This window comes from Homo sapiens, chromosome 8 (assembly GCF_000001405.40).
Source record: "Homo sapiens chromosome 8, GRCh38.p14 Primary Assembly".
In the NCBI taxonomy this organism is placed as follows: domain Eukaryota; kingdom Metazoa; phylum Chordata; class Mammalia; order Primates; family Hominidae; genus Homo; species Homo sapiens.
In genome coordinates, this window is record NC_000008.11 from 125,303,584 (window position 1) to 125,319,565 (window position 15,982).

The 15,982-nt window shown below is 41.2% G+C and overlaps 1 protein-coding gene across 14 annotated transcripts in view, besides 1 other annotated feature; it reads left to right on the plus strand.

Annotated features, from left to right (window-relative positions):
• The window catches only part of NSMCE2 (NSE2 SUMO ligase component of SMC5/6 complex), a 275,261-nt gene that overhangs the window by 211,724 nt on the left and 47,555 nt on the right, over positions 1 to 15,982 (plus strand). The gene's annotated exons all lie outside the window — the stretch shown is intronic.
• Positions 6,441 to 6,580: an enhancer, noted in NCBI's record as "active region_27910". NCBI's record gives its function as "activates an Ori minimal core promoter by ATAC-STARR-seq in GM12878 lymphoblastoid cells {active_cell/tissue: GM12878}" and the evidence as "EXISTENCE:reporter gene assay evidence [ECO:0000049][PMID:35858748]".

Consider the following 15,982-nt stretch of genomic DNA (forward strand, 5'->3'; position numbering starts at 1 on the left):
GCTGTTTAGGAAAAGGAGGTAATTTATAAGTACTTACAGTGCACTGTAAGTACTGTTAACTATATATTCCAATTGCTGTACAGAAATTCAACTCCACATACTCAACAAAAATGGAGAGTAAAACAGAGAGGAAATTTAAATAGTACAGGTAATTTTGTCCACCAGTCCCACACTGTGCAGAAGATGACAGGGATGAATGATTCCCTCAGTTGCTCTCAGCTTCCCTATTGCTCTCATGGTGTAAAATTTCATTGCATCAAGTGTGATTGTAGTGTTTAAAGATATACATTGTTTGTATAACGTGTCCCTAAGATGCATGTCACCTACTTCTTGTGCTGGCTAAAGAAACAATGTTCTTTCTAGTGCTAAAAGAAATCCTGGTTGTGTTTGACCTTTCTAAGAAATTGTCAAATTGGCTTTGTCATACATGAGATTTTCATCTTATGCTTTGACTTCAGAGTTTATTCTCTACATAAGATATTAATTCACTGTACTGACATATATACAGGATAAAGTCAAACGTGGCTGTGAATTTCAGTTTTTGACTGATTTAGACTGTGGAAAAGTTATTTGACTTCCCTTAGTGCTTAATGATTAGCCTCATTCGACTCTAATCTATAAAACTAAGATACTTAAATTCATTTCATTTGCATTGTTGTGATGATTACATGAATAATATATATAAAGATCCTACCAAGATATTTAGCATAGTAAGTGATAGTTGCCACCTCATTCCTAGTAGGTGAAGATGTGTACTTTACCTATGGGAGCCTGTGAAGGTTTTTAGCAGAGGAGTGACGTGATCCATGTAGGTTTCAGGAGAGATGACTTCAGTGCCCCGTGATGTATGTGCTAAAGTGTAGAGAGACCCGGGGCAAGGAAACGAGACAGCAAGTAGTTACAATGGTTTAGACAAAGATGAGGGCCTGCCTGAAGGCAGTGGAGGTGCAGAGGAAGGATCCAGGTTTGGGAGCTTTAAAAGTAGAATTGAGGCTGGGTGCGGTGGCTCACACCTGTAATCCTAGCACTTTGGGAGGCTGAGGCAGGCAGATCATTTGAGGTCAAGAGTTCAAGACCAACCTGGCCAACATGGTGAAACCCCATCTCTACTAAAAATACAAAAATTAGCCAGGCATGGTAGCATGGGCCTGTAATCCCAGCTGCTTGGGAGACTGAGGCATCAAGTCTCATCACTGATTCTCATCAAGCGATGAGAATCGCTTGAACCCTGGAGGCAGAGGTTACAGTGAGCTGAGATCGTGCCACCTCATTTCAGCCTGGGCAACAGAGCCAGACTCTGAAAAAAAAAAAAGAGAGAGAAAGAAAGGAAAGAGAGAAAGAAAGAAGGAAAGAAAGGAAGGAAGGAAGGAAGGAAGAAAGAAAGAAAAAGGAAAGGAAAGAGGGAGGGAGGGAAGGAAGGAAGGAAAGAAAGAAGGAAGGAAAGAAAGAACTGATAGAACTTGGGGACTATTTGAAGTAAAAGGGAGTGGGAAGATCTTCAGAAGTGAAGGATGTCTTTATGTTTTCCAGCTTCAGAGGTTGGATAAATGGAGATATTAAATTAACTGGTACAGAGAATAATAAAAGGTACTGTTTTACTTCAGACTGAAACTATATACCTGGCATTAAGCTAAGGAATTTAATACATTATTTGATTTAGTCATCATGATAACCCTACGGAGTAAGTAGTATCATTGCCATTTTACTACTGTGAAAACCTAAACTCAGAGGAGCCCAGTGTCATATAGCTAGCTAGTCAGTGTCTCCCTAGGATCTGAACATGGATTTGTATGACACCAAAGCCTCACTTTACACCACAGCAGTAAATAAGCCCTCACTCTGGAAGAGGAGAAATGGAGTAGGGACAAGAGGCTGAAGAGAAGTCTTAGTTCTGGAAGCGTTAAACTGTCAGGCAGAGATATCTTGAAGGCAGCTGGAAAATCAGACCTGTAGCTCAGGGGTGCATGTGGGGAAATAAGAAAATGTGGGTGTTGCTGGCTTATGGTGTTGGAGAGTGAATGAGGTTACTCATCAAGGAGTATATGGTTAAAGAGAAACAGACCCTCAGTAAATGAAGGCTAGAAGGGGGATGCCAACCTAGTTTAGAAACTCGTATACCTGCATACTCAGTTTAGGAGTTTAGAAACGCTCATATACCTATATGCAGTGTAATTTTTTCTGACCAAAGTATAGCCTTGTGCTTTGGTGTATAAATTTTTAGTCAGCTGGGTATTGAGAGTTCCCTGTTAGAGCTTGAGCCTTGCCCTCACAGAGCTTATAGTCTAGTGGAGAGGCTTAGTAAAAAATCCATTAAACAATAACAATCAGTTGTAGTACAGGCTAAATGTTATTTTAGGGTGCTGTTACAGGATGCTGCATAAGATTGGCCCCAAAGCCAGGCTTGAGAGTCAATAGCCAGGCAATTAGGATTACAGGTCATAGTATTGAATAAGTTTATACTTGGCCAGACGCAGTGGCTCATGCCTGTAATTTTAGCACTTTGGGAGGCTGAGATGGGAGGATTGCTTGAGCCCAAGAGCTCAAGACCAGCCTGGGCAATATAGTGAGACCTCCCATCTCTATAAAAAATTAAAAAATTAGCCAGGTGTCATGGCATGTGCCTGTAATCCCAGCTTCTCGGGAGGCTGAGGCGAGAGGATGGCTTGAGCCCAGGAGGTTGAGGCTGCAGTAAGCCATGATTGCCCCACTGCACTCTAACCTGGGCAACAGAGACCCTGTCTCAAAACAAAACAAAAACATAAAGCTTATATATATTAAAAAAAAAAAACTGAGCAACAGCTGTTTTCACCACTCATTGTCCCATCTTGGGCCTTACTGCCCAATTTAAATTTCTCTATCTCTCTCTCTCTTCTCCCCACTTCCTCCCTCCCTTCCCCACACAGTGAAGAGATATGATGCAGCTCCACTGTAACAGTATTTGAGTCAAATGTATACACTGAAATTTCTTAGATTTTTTTTCCTGAACACATAATTGCTCTAGGAGACCTGCACAAAATGTGAAAATAGCACGTTTCTTTTCCACTGACCATCAGAACAGAGAATTCCCAAGCCTTCATATTGCACAGTGAATAACCCAGTCTCAATTTATGGACTTTATCTTGATATCCAGTCTTCATTTTGGTAGGTTATCTAGTGTAATGGTTAAAAGTACAGGTCCTGGAGCTGGACTGTCTGGATTTGAATTCTTGTTCCACCAATTGCTAACTGTGTGACCTTGGGCAAAATACTTAACCTCTCTGTGCTTGTTTCCACATCTGTAAGATGGGAATATAATGATATTACCTACATCCTTAGCATTATGTGAGGAATAATAAGTTAATACATGTGAAATGCCTAGAACTGTACATGGCATATATAGAGTAAGCAATTTATAAAGGTTCAATGTTAGTGCTACTACTGAATTATGCCAGTGGATAAAACAGTGTGTTAAAATGGGAGCCCAGCCCATTGTAAATCACTCACAGATCAGCTCCCTGTTCACTTAACATGGAGGAAAGAGTCCAGCATTTGTTTCCTTTTCCTCTCTTTTAACATTGTGGGTACCGGTCCCTGGTAGATTTAGTGGGTAGTCAATTTCAAGCCCCATAGCTAGAGACAAGGAAATTTTTTTTTCTTTAAAATAGAAGTCTCCTTCTTTCCAATCACATGTGCAATGTCTATGTTTAGAAATCTTCCAGGAGCAGTCTGGGAAGATAGCTGAAAGCATGGTGTATGGCGAGATGCCTAGTATATGATAAAGAAGATAGGCAGGCGGCCAGCCAGCCATCGTGTTGTCTGTTTCATAATGTGTTGTCAGATCAGAAAGGGAATGTGATTCTTTTCTCCGTGGCTGAACTTTTCCATCAGTCCTGTTGAGCTGCCAATTGGAAGACCCTAGTTGATACATCTCCTGAGCCCATTTGTCTGGAGTGGCAGCAAAGAACAAATCACAGATTTTACACCTTGTTGTGAAGCCACTGAACATCACTCTCACTGAGCACTTCCCCTAGCTTGCCCTAGAGTTCTCAGAATACCTCCCTTCTTCCAAGAGGAAGCTACAGGGTTGTAGGCTTGATACTGTTAATGGAAGAAATTCATCAACTTCTTGAACCTGCCTCTAAAACCCCACAAAGTAGAGGTATAAAGGGGTTTTGACTAAGCAAGTGTCGTTTGCTCCCTGGAGGATGTGTCAGCTCTTGCTTCTTTTCAATTGCTTAAGAGTTAAAAACGATTACTGTGGTCTCAGAGGACAGACACCAGCACTGTGAGCTGGATCTCACCCACAGATGTGTTCGGCTTGACCCACATAGTTGTATACGCATATGTCAGTTTGTTGCAACATACAAAAACTGGGGGGTTTCACATAAAAATCTGCATTTTCAATTTCTTTTTTTTAACTGCCAAATCTGACAACACTGTGTCTTCCCTGCTTCCCCTGTGGAAACAGTCTGCCTGACTGGGTAACAGTGGCTCCCTGGTACCCACAGTTTACCAGGCCCCACCTGGCCCACTTCCTCCACTCCTGTTTGTTTCCTAGTCTCGGAGGCATGGGAGTTTATATAACCTTCTCTTAGAACGTGGTGCCATGTTCTCTACAGTATAATCCCAAATGAAAAGTGAAAATTCTCATTACACTCCTTGACCTAGTTTTAACAAGATGCTAAATACTGAGTCTCAGGCCTTTGCTCTTTGATTTAAGATAAAAAATCCTAAGTATTTTCTCTGGATGTTTTGGGGGGAAAAAATCCTAAGTAAAACCTTTTCTGTGTCATTTATTTAAAAATCACAATTGGCAATTATCCTCGCCTAATGGTCTTCTTGAGTCAGAGAAGTCTTTTTCCTTTGACCTTTTCCATGGTAGCATTTTACGCTGTTCTGGTTACTACCAGCAATACAGGCTAAACAACAACCCAAAGTTTGACCATCTGGCCTCGTCCTTAGTCACCTATTTTTGCTGCTGATAGATTTGAGACTATAGGTTGTATCTGGGGAAGGGAGCATGGAGATCTAGAGGGGAAATAAGTTACCTGTTTAACTTCCACAGAGTTGAAAGCTGAGTCATGGGGCCACACGATACAAAGGTGATACACACAAAAGCATCTGCAAATTGCTTTTATTGGGAAGCCATTTTCCTCCCCTTTTTCAAGCCACATGGCCAACCCACTCCCTGAGATTCTGCAGGCCTCCCATTCCGGTGAGTGTAGCTCAGTTGGTGAAATCTGCCCCAGCTCAAGTTCTTCCCCACCTTTTACTATTTCCTTATTCTGAAGATAGATGAAGAAGTGCATTTTCCTTACCCCCTGCCAGCCATCTGAGGACAATTTGAGCTTGATAACGTGGGGCCAGCGTGCAGCTGTCCATGAAAGAATTGTGTTATGAGGCCGGGCACGGTGGCTTACGCCTGTAATCCCAGCACTTTGGGAGGCCGAGGCGGGTGGATCACCTGAGGTCAAGAGTTCAAGACCAGCCTGACCAACATGGAGAAACCCTGTCTCTACTAAAAATACAAAAAATTTAGTTGGGCATGGTGGCGCATCCCTGTAATACCACCTACTCAGGAGGCTGAGGCAGGAGAGAATCGCTTGAACCTAGAGGCAGAGGTTGCAATGAGCCGAGATCACGCCATTCAACTCCAGCCTGGGCTATAAGGGCAAAACTCTGTCTCAAAAAAAAAAAAAAAAAAAAAAGAATTGTGTTGTGAAACCACAGAGTATACTTACTGCATTGTAGAAGTTTAATCAGTGTATAAAAATTCATTAAGCACTTTAGGAGCTTTGGATAAAAAGTCATATGTGAATATTAGTCATTTATTTTATTGCCATCATTGAGTCACTTTACCATAGAAGTGTTTTATTAAGATCAGGTGCAGTGGCTTATGCCTGTAATCCCAGCACTTCGGGAGGCCAATGGGGGAGGATCGCTTGAGCTCGGGAGTTTGAGAGCAAGCTGGACAACATAGCGAGACCCCTGTCTCTACTAAAAATCAAAATAATTAGCCAGGCGTGGTGGCACATGCTTGCAGTCCCAGCTACTTAGGAGGCTGAGGCAGGAGGATTGCTTGAGCTGGGGAGATCAAGGCTACAGTGAGCTATGATCACGCCAGTGCACTTCAGCCTGGGTGCAGAGTGAGACCCAGTCTCAAAAAAAAAAATGTATTAATTGTTCAAATTTCCATGACTCCAGTTTCACATGAGGCCGTGGACTTCTCAATCAAAAAGTTTTTAGTAGCTTCAGTAGGTCTGAAATTTCAGAGTATTGAGCAAGGCCTACACTGAGCTAGAGCATGATCTAATAAGATTGGACTGTCAAAACAAGAAGCACCAGTCTGTGGTCAAAAGGTTTTTAAGAAGGAAATGTTAAAGCTCTGCTGTGAGAAACTCAAGATCATGAAACATGTAAGCTGGCAGGCTGTTTCTTTCTCATTTCTACTATGATGGGGGGACCCTCATCCTAGGTAAACAGAGACACTGAAGCAAAATTAGGTGTGATTAAACAGAAACAACAGATGGTATCTTTCTATTGGGAAACTAATCGTTTGTGTAACTGGCAGGATGAAACATCAGAAAATACTTGACACATTTTGCTAGAGTCCTAAAGGGCACCTAGGAAGACTGACTCCAAAATGTCAAAATAAGGAAAATACATAACTCAGACTAGAGTCAGACAGAAGGGAGTTCCATTCCCAGCCCACCACCTGTCAGATTTGGGGCAAGTTATTTAACCTTTTTTGCTCCTCAGTTTTTTTTAATCCCTGAAATGGGGATTGGAATTGGAACATTATAGGATTGTCATGGAAATTCAAAGAAAGAATGAGTGGAGAATGTTTGAAAGAGTACCTACCATATGATGAGTGCCCAATCAATTGTAGCTATTGCAATTATGTAAAAGAGAAATGTGTAATAGCTTTTTGTTTGGTGTATTCAATATGGTTTTCAAAATAAAGACCAATATCATAAAGTTTTGTTGCTGTTTCTCATAACTACATTTAAATTCCCGGTTACTTTAAGCCCCCTTTTTTTTTGTCTTCTGCATACCTGCAAGTACCTCATCCATTCTTCCGTAATGTTTTTCTCCCTTAGCCAATACCATTCCAATGAATAAATGCTCAAGACCAAATGTGAACAGAGGTTTAGGCTGACTTTAGGACTGAGTCACTGTGATCTGTTTCAGCCTCCTGGAGCTCTTTTTTCCTCCATGCTCATTTACCGAGGAGTATAATGTTTGCATCATACCTGCTGTTGAATTACCATGTAACGATTAATGAGATATGTTTATTAACAAGATATGTTTATGAAATGCCTTATGTTTGTGATCACTTGTAATAAAACATTAATAAAGAATATGGTTTATTGATGAATATATTAGATCGCAAGGGGGAAAACCCAGTGCTAATGATGATCTCACTTTTAATATGTTAGATAATTACTCCAACTGAAACCGAATTGATTTTTATCAGATAAATTGGGGGTCAAAGTTACACCGCAGTAATTACTGCTTTCAAACTGTGTTTGTGTAACCTGGGGAAAGATTTTGCTCTGGGGACCATATTGAGGCATTTGCCCTTGCCACTAGCAGAGAACTTGGATCTGTGCACACACAACTAGAAGCAGAAGCATGTATTTCCTTTCTTTTACCAAAGAATAGAAACCATGAAGAAAACCACTCTCCTCAATACTGGATGAAATTAGACACCAAAGAATTCCCTTTCACTCAGTTCTCTGCTTCATTTAAAACCTAGAATCTTTGTAGAAATCTGTAAAAAAAAATGCGTAAATTGTATAGTTTCCTTTTCCCATAAAATCTCCAAAGAAGGAAATCTTATTTTTACCTTGGACTTTCAAAAACATAGATAATAAAAACATTTCATTTGCTCTAACACAGTTTATGATGTCACTAGAAGTTCTTGATAAAATTGTCAGCGTGAGTATGCCACTGAATTAATAAGCCATGCTTTATTCGTGGTATGTTGTGCAATATGTCAGCATTTCCCCTTTCTTTCCTGTAAATTGTAACTTTTCCGATGACTAGCATTTAAAGTCTTTTCCTGATTAAGGAATTGTCAGCTGAAATCATCAGGGATTTCCCCTTAACTATTTTGGAAGAAATCTGAAGAATGTAATGTGTTGCTTGGAAATTAAGAAATTTGGAATAATTCATGTGAACCTAAATGGTGAAATAGAATCAAGAAATGATAGTTTTCTTAAAAATAAGATGGCCAGGCACGGTGGCTCACGCCTGTAATCCCAGCACTTTGGGAGGCCAAGGCGGGTAGATTACCTGAGGTTGAGAGTTCGAGACCAGCCTGACCAACATGGTCTCTACTAAAAATACAAAATTAGCCAGGCATGGTGGCGCATGCCTGTAATCCCAGCTACTCAGGAGGCTGAGGCAGGAGAATCACTTGAACCTGGGAGGTGGTGGTTGCAGTGAGCAGAGATCAGGTCATTATTGCACTCCAGCCTGGGCAACAAGAGCAAAACTCCATCTCAATTAAAAAAAAAAAAAAAAAAGAAAGAAAAGAAAAGAAGATAATGATAAGGTCACAGAAAGAATAATAAAAACTGTAGAAATAATGAACTCTCTGAGACATTTAATAAACTTTGATGTCTCTGTTCTATGCTTTTCAAAAGATTTGTTACATTATAAGAGCTAAACTGAAATAGAAACATTAACATTTCAGATGCTTAGAAAATGGTTTTTAAATTTAATTTCTCCAGTTACTCAAGGTTAACAGAAATTTCTTTTATAAATGTGTATTGTGGCCGGGCATGGTGGCTCATGCCTGTAATCTCAGCACTTTGGGAGGCTGAGGCGAGTGGATCACAAGGTCAGGAGTTCAAGACCAGCCTGGCCAACGTGGTGAAACTCTGTCTCTACTGAAAATACAAAAATTAGCCGGGCGTGGGTGGCACACGCCTGTAGTCCCAGGTACTTGGGAGGCTGAGGCAGGAGAATTGCTTGAACCTGGGAGGCAGAGGTTGCAGTGAGCCAAGATCACGCCACTGCATTCCAGCCGAGGCTACAGAGTGAGATTCTGTCTTAAATAAGTAAATAAACAAATAAATAAATAAATGTGTTGCATCTGCAGTGCCACTAGAACAAGGATAGCAGACTGAGGTGGTAGAAAGCAGACTCAACAGGGCAAAAGGCAAGAGATCTGTTTCAAGTGCAAGGGCCTTGAGCCTTTTGTCCAGTGGCAGGATGGGGTGGGGTGAGCAGGAGACAGGTGGCTAGTGTGATAAAGAGTACGGGGCCGGTTGGAGAAGAGTCATTAGAAAAAGCCTCTCTGAGGAAGTGACCTTTGAGCTGAACCAGCACGGGGAGAGCACAGAGAAGAACTCAGCAAATACACAGAAAGCACATATCACATGCAAAGGCCCTGGGGCTAGAGTGAATTTGATGATCAAGAGACAGTGAGTAGAGGATGGGTCAGTAGGTGTGCAGCAAACCACCATGGCACATGTATACCTGTGTAACAAACCTACACGTTCTGCACATGTATCCCAGAACTTAAAGTGGAAAAAAAAAAAAGGGAAAGAAGGAAGGAAGGAAGGAGAAAGAAAGAAGGAAGGAAGGAAAAAAAGGAAGGAAAGAAGGAAGGAGAAAGAAAGAGAGAGAGAAAGAAAGAAAGAAAAGAAAGAAAAAGAAGAAAGAAAGAAAGAAAAGAAAAGAAGGAAAGAAAAAAGAAAGGATGAGAAGGCAGGTATAGCTAGAGCACAGGGGGAGAGTGGTGAGATAAGATCCAAAAGGTAGGAAGAGGCAGCCCTGATAAAAGTCAAGTATGGGGAGAAAAAGTTAACAGTTGAGTTAATTTACTGTGTTTTAGAATTATCCCAATTCTAAAAATGGCACGTGGAAAACACTTTAAAGAAGGAAGGATCTGTATGCCAAATCTCAACCAGCTGTAAGCTCCAAATTTGTATTTGATGACAGACAGGCCTTACTCTTGGTAACTCTTAGAAAGAGAAGGACCTCACGACTTGCCAGCTTAGCTCTTTTGTTGTCACCTTCCACATAAAGGAGACTGAAGCAAAGGAAAAGTGTCCTCAAAATCGGTCATCCTGTGCCTTCTACATCCACCCTCAGCCCCCATGTATGTGTTATACACGTCCTTAGAGTTTCCTTGTTCCCCATACTCTTCCGTGGACAAAGTGTGACACTGTTCAGTCTGGTGGCAGAGAAGGGAAGGAAAAAAAGAAACAGAACTTTACTTTTCTTCTCTCAACAGACTTTGCAGAACAAAATGAAAAATCAAAGGGACCCAAAATGATAGATCTGAGATTCAGTCCACCAGCTATTACAACTAAATAGTGGCAGAAAGCAACTGATGCTTTCTTACTCTATCTTCCAACCAAGACCCCCTAGAAAGCCCTGCATGAGCAACTTTAGGCTATCTGGCATTTCCAGGGTAGTTATTTAGAATAATGGAAAGTGAAAAAGATTGGCATGTGTTTTTCAAAGACCGGTAATCAAATAGGATAGCAAACGTGCAGAGATGTGAATTGAATGAATGTAGGAGATGATTTGTTCAAAATAATTTAGCAACTAGAAGCAAAGTCTTTAATGCTTAAGTGGATATCTAAGCAGCAGGCCAATTCCTCCCAGCCATTAAAAGCTTATGCAAATCCCATAAATCAGTAATGTGCTTTTTAGGTTTGCAGTTTCCTTTCAAGGAGCCTTGTGTTTTGTTTTTGTTTTGTTTTGTTTTGTTTTTGTTTTTTGAGACAGAATTTCACTCTTGTCGCACCCAGGCTGGAGTCCAGTGGCACGATCTCAGGTCACTACAACCTCCACCTCCCAGATTCAAGCGATTCTCCTGCCTCAGCCTCCCAAGTAGCTGGGGTTATAGGCACCCACCACCCATGCCTGGCTAATTTTTTGTATTTTTAGTAGAGACGGGGTTTTGCCATGTTGGCCAGGCTGGTCTCGAACTCCTGACTTCGTGATCCACCCGCCTTGGCCTCCCAAAGTGCTGGGATTACAGGCCTGAGCCATTGTGCTTGGCCGAGCCTTGCATTTTTAGACACTCGATCACTCCCTGAAAACAACCAAGCCAGGTGATGGTTGTCTACCAGTAATATTTTTTCACACCTCTGGAAGTGGAGCTGTGATCCTGCCAGTAGCTTTCTTTCTTGATGTAAATACTGTGTAGGGACTTGCAGGCTTTCATTCAATCTCTTTTCATTCATTCATTGTGCACCATGCCTGAGCAGTGTGCCAGCTCTTGGTGATAGAGCAATTAAGTAAAATGCTGGATGAAGCCCTATGGGGAGATGGGCAAAGCATGAGAAGTACTAGAATAGCAGAGAAGTAAACAAAGCGAGATGTTGGGTGGAATGGGAGCAACTAATTCCAGCAAGGGAGGGTGGGGATCAAGGAGGACCTCAGAGATGTAACTAGACTCACACTGAAGGGTTTAAAGGAAGGAGATATAATTAGGCACAAAGAATCACATAAGGCGAAACAGACACAGAATAACCCTGCAGAGCATGTTTTCTTCATCATGACTTTTCTCATTGACTAGAATCTTTTTTTTTTCTTTTTTCTTTTCATGTGTGTTTGTGTGTTAGGAACAGAGAGAGGAGTTACAGGGATAGAGTGGTAGGGACAGGAGAAGTAGATAGGTAAGGAATGTCAGGCCCCAAGTACCAAACAGAGTAGTGTATGAGCTTCAGTGTCAGAAAGACCTGGTTGGGCCTTAGGCTGTTCCTTTACCTCAAAGCCCCAGCTTCCACATCAGCAAAGTGGGAAAGCTTCCATTTGGGTTGCTCTGAGAGTGAAATGAGGTGCACTGTAGCACAGTGAGGGGCTGAGTTTTGAGTCAGACAGACCTGCTTTCAAATCACACTGACTTCTTGTATTAGCTGAGTCATCTTGCGTGTCAAAACCTCAGTTTTCTCATTTATGAAATGGGAATAATAGGATCTCCCTCATGGGCATGTAAGGATTCAACTAGCTAATTCATGAAAAGTGTTTATTAGTACAAGGCTGGGTGCACGGTCAGCAATGTTAGCTTTCCCTCTCCTTTTAATAGAACCTTGCTAAAGGTTAGTTCCTTTCCCCTAAGGAAATGTAAGAGTTTGCCATTTTAAGTCCTTCAGTAATTTATTCACTGTAACTGTACAGAGAAAGAGTATGACTTTTTAGCAATTATATTTTCCATGGAGGAGTCTTCCATTCAGGCTCACCACATTGATTTTCCTTTGTTGGTACCCTTTTTTTTCCCTCTCTTTTTTAAAGTCAGGGTTTCACTCCGTCACCCAGGCTGTTGTGCAGTGGTGCAGTCACAGCTCACGGCAGCTTCAACCTCCTGGGCTCAAGCAATCCTCTTACCTTAGCCTCCTGAGTAGCTGTGACCATAGGCACACACCACCACATCCAGCTAATGTATTTTTTGTTTTTTAGCAGAGACGAGCTCTCACTGTGTTGCCCGGGCTGGTCTCAAATTCCTGGGCTCAGGTGATCCTCCCATCTCAGCCTCCCAAAGTGGTGGGATTATAGGTATGAGCCACTACACCTGGTCTAAACCTCATTCTTATCAATGCATGATGATAACAGATGCCATCCCAGGGCAAACAAGTGAATAGCATGTCTTCTTTTTCAATTCTAGTCTCCTAATTTGAGGTAGTTTCTACACAGTTTTCTTACCTTCAACAGCACATACTTAAGAACTCAATTCAGAACAATTCACCTTCTATATATAAACTTAGTATTGTGAGAAGCATATGGCCCAAGGCCTTGCTTTCAAGCAGCTAACTGCCTTCTTGGGAAAATAGAACTTCCAGAAAACAATTAGGCAACAATATGAAGAAAGTGTATGATAAGGTACAAAGTCTATTCCAACTATGTTTATGACACTACTGGCAGTACGTGCATTGGTCAGAAGCTGGAATTTTCAGGGCAGGCTCCAGACTTTAGGAACTATGTTATGATCAACCAGCAGGTCTTAGAATAACCGTTGTCTGTCTGTCTTTCTTTCTTTCCTTCTTTCTTTCTTTCTTTTCTTTTCTTTCTTTCCTTCTTTCCTTTCTTTATTTCCTTCTTTCCTTTCTTTATTTCCTTCTTTCCTTCTTTCCTTCCTTCCTTCTTTCCTTCCTTCTTATCTTCCTTCTTTCCTTCCTTCCTTCTTTCCTTCTTTCTTTCCTTCTTTTCCTTCCTTCCTTCCTTCCTTCCTTCCTTCCTTCCTTCTCTCTCTCTCTTTCTTTCTTTCTTTCTTCTTTCCTCTTGCTCTGTTGCCAGGCTGGAGTTGAAGTAGCATGATCACAGTTCACTGCAGACTCTACCTCTCAGACTCAAGGAATTCTTGCACCTCAGCCCCCCGAGTAGCTGGCACTATAGGCGTGTGCCACCACACCCAGCTGATTTTTGGTTTTTCGTTTTTTTTTTAAGAGATGGGGTTTTGCCATGTTGCCCAGACTGGTCTTGGACTTCTCATCTCAAGCAGTCCACCTGCCTTGGCCTCCCAAAGTGCTGGGATTCCAGGCTGGCTCACCACTCCTGGCCTATTGTTTCTGATTTCACATCATCACTCCACCTTCCCAGAATACCCTCAAGATGAGTCCATCCTGGGAAAAAAATAAGACTATGATTTAAAGTCAGTGGTTTCCTAAAGATCTTTTTTTTTTTTTATTGGAGACAGGGTCTCACTCTATCACCCAGGCTGGAGTGCAGTGATGCAATCACAGCTCACTGCAGCCTCAACCTCCTGGGCTTAAGTGATCTTCTCTCCCCAGCCTCCGAATAGCTGGGACTACAGGCACATGCCACCATGCCTGGCTAATGTTTGTATTTTTTGTAAAGATGGGGTTTTGCCATGTTGCCTAGGCTTGTCTTGAACTCCAGAGCTCAATTGATCCACCCGCCTTGGCCTCCATAAGTTCTGGGATTACAGGCGTGCACCACCACACCTGACCAAGATTCCTTTTTTAATATATACTTCCTCCCTCCTCCATGCTTTGAAATTCTTCCCTACCAAATTGCATTTACACATAATAATTTTTGTCTTCCATGTTTTATTAATCAAAGACAGTTGCCTATCTGAAGTCTAGGTCAGCATAAGCCAATGTGAACTCAGTATAGCAACACTATTATCTGATTCCAGGTTACAGGGGAGAAAAGAAACTAGGGTATTTCACTTGTTAATTATGCATTTGAGATATAAAGCCTTGCTAATGTCATGTATGTATACATCCAGAAAATATGCAAAATCTAGAAACCATGCAGAAAAAGATTGATAATTTGAACTACATCAAAGCAAAAATTATCAGACCAGAATGCCAGTTAAATTTTTAAAAAGTTAAAAAATTATTTATGATATTTTTAGATGCCCTCAGTAAAGTCAAAAGACAAACTATCAGCTAAAGAGGAAAATTGTAATTTATGTGATAGAGGATTAATTTCCTGCACAAAATCTTACAAATCAATGTGAAAATGACAAACCAATATTCTACAAAATGAAAGCACATAGTTTCAGAAAAAGCAGTACCAATCACCAGTAAGAATATAAGATGTTTAACTTTACAAAAGAAATGAAAATAAAATAGGGCCGGGTATAGTGGCACACGCCTGTAATCCCAGCACTTCAGGAGCCTGAGGCAGGTGCATCACTTGATCTCAGGAGTTTGAGGCCAGCCTGGGCAACACAGTGAAACCCCATATCTACAAAAAATACAAAAACTAACCAGATGTAGTGCCTGTAGTCCCAGCTACTTAGTAGGGCTGAGGTGGGAAGATCACTTGAGCCCAGGAGGTTGAGTTCTTGGTAAGCCAAGATCGCGCCACTGCACTTCATTCCAGCCTGGGCGACACAGTGAGACCCTGACTCAAAAAGTAAAATAATGTTTACCTATCAAATTGGAAAAGATGTACACTTCTGATAATATTCAGTGTTGCAATCTATATATGGGGAAGTAGCCACCTTAAATAATTTATTCAACATGTAAGTCCACACATAGACCCAAAAGTATGTATACAGTGATGTTAATGGCAACATCTATTGTATCAGCCAAAAACTAGAAGCAAACCTTAAGCTTCTGATCAAGATTAAATAACAGGTACCACATTGAACTTCCCTCCTAAAATAACAGAGAAAAAAAAAGAAAACAAAATCTGTGAAACAACCACGGCACTCAAGGCATTGACATCAGGCATGGAAAGGCAATGATCCTTGAAGACAGGAAACAAAGGAAATGGGTCCCATGCTTGTTCCAGCTTACTATTGAGAGAGTTTTCAGGCCATAGTACAGGGAAGGGGAACCTAGGCAGATCCTTGTGATCTCCCTGAATGGAGGAAATATAACTAAGAGTCCAGGGAAGCCAAGATAGCTAGACTAGAGTAGAGAGATGCACAAAGAGAGAAATCTGGAGATGTGAGGAGGTCTCCTGAATACTGATGAGCACATGCATGTGAAGAAACTACCCAAGGCCAGGGAAAGAGCTATCTAATGGATTAGAGAGAACAGTGCCTGGAACTCACACAGGGATGAGAATAGTACCTGTTCTCAACAACCAGAAAGGAAAGAAATCCATAATTCAGAGACATTGGTTACTTTTGCTTCAGTAGTAGAAAAAAATTAACCATAGATTAAACACCACTCTGGTCATCCTGAGCACAACTTTAAAATAAGACCCAAAAGCATCAAACTGTTTCCAAATAAATAACTGCATCCAAGAACAAAACTCAAGAATGTTTATAAAGAAAACAAAAATAAACAGCACCCACAATGTCTAGATTCCAGGTAAAATTACCAGGCAAACAGGTAGCAGGAAAATACAACCCCTAATAAGGGAGGGAAAATCAACCCATCAAAACTGACCTAGAAATGACACAGATATAAAAATTAATAGGAAAGGCATTAAAACAATTATTGTGATTGCATTCCATATGTTCAGAAAACTATAAGAAAGATTGCCCATGTTAATTAGATACATGGAAGGTAGGTGTGTGTGTGTGGGCAGTGGGGGTGTATGTCTTTACATATGT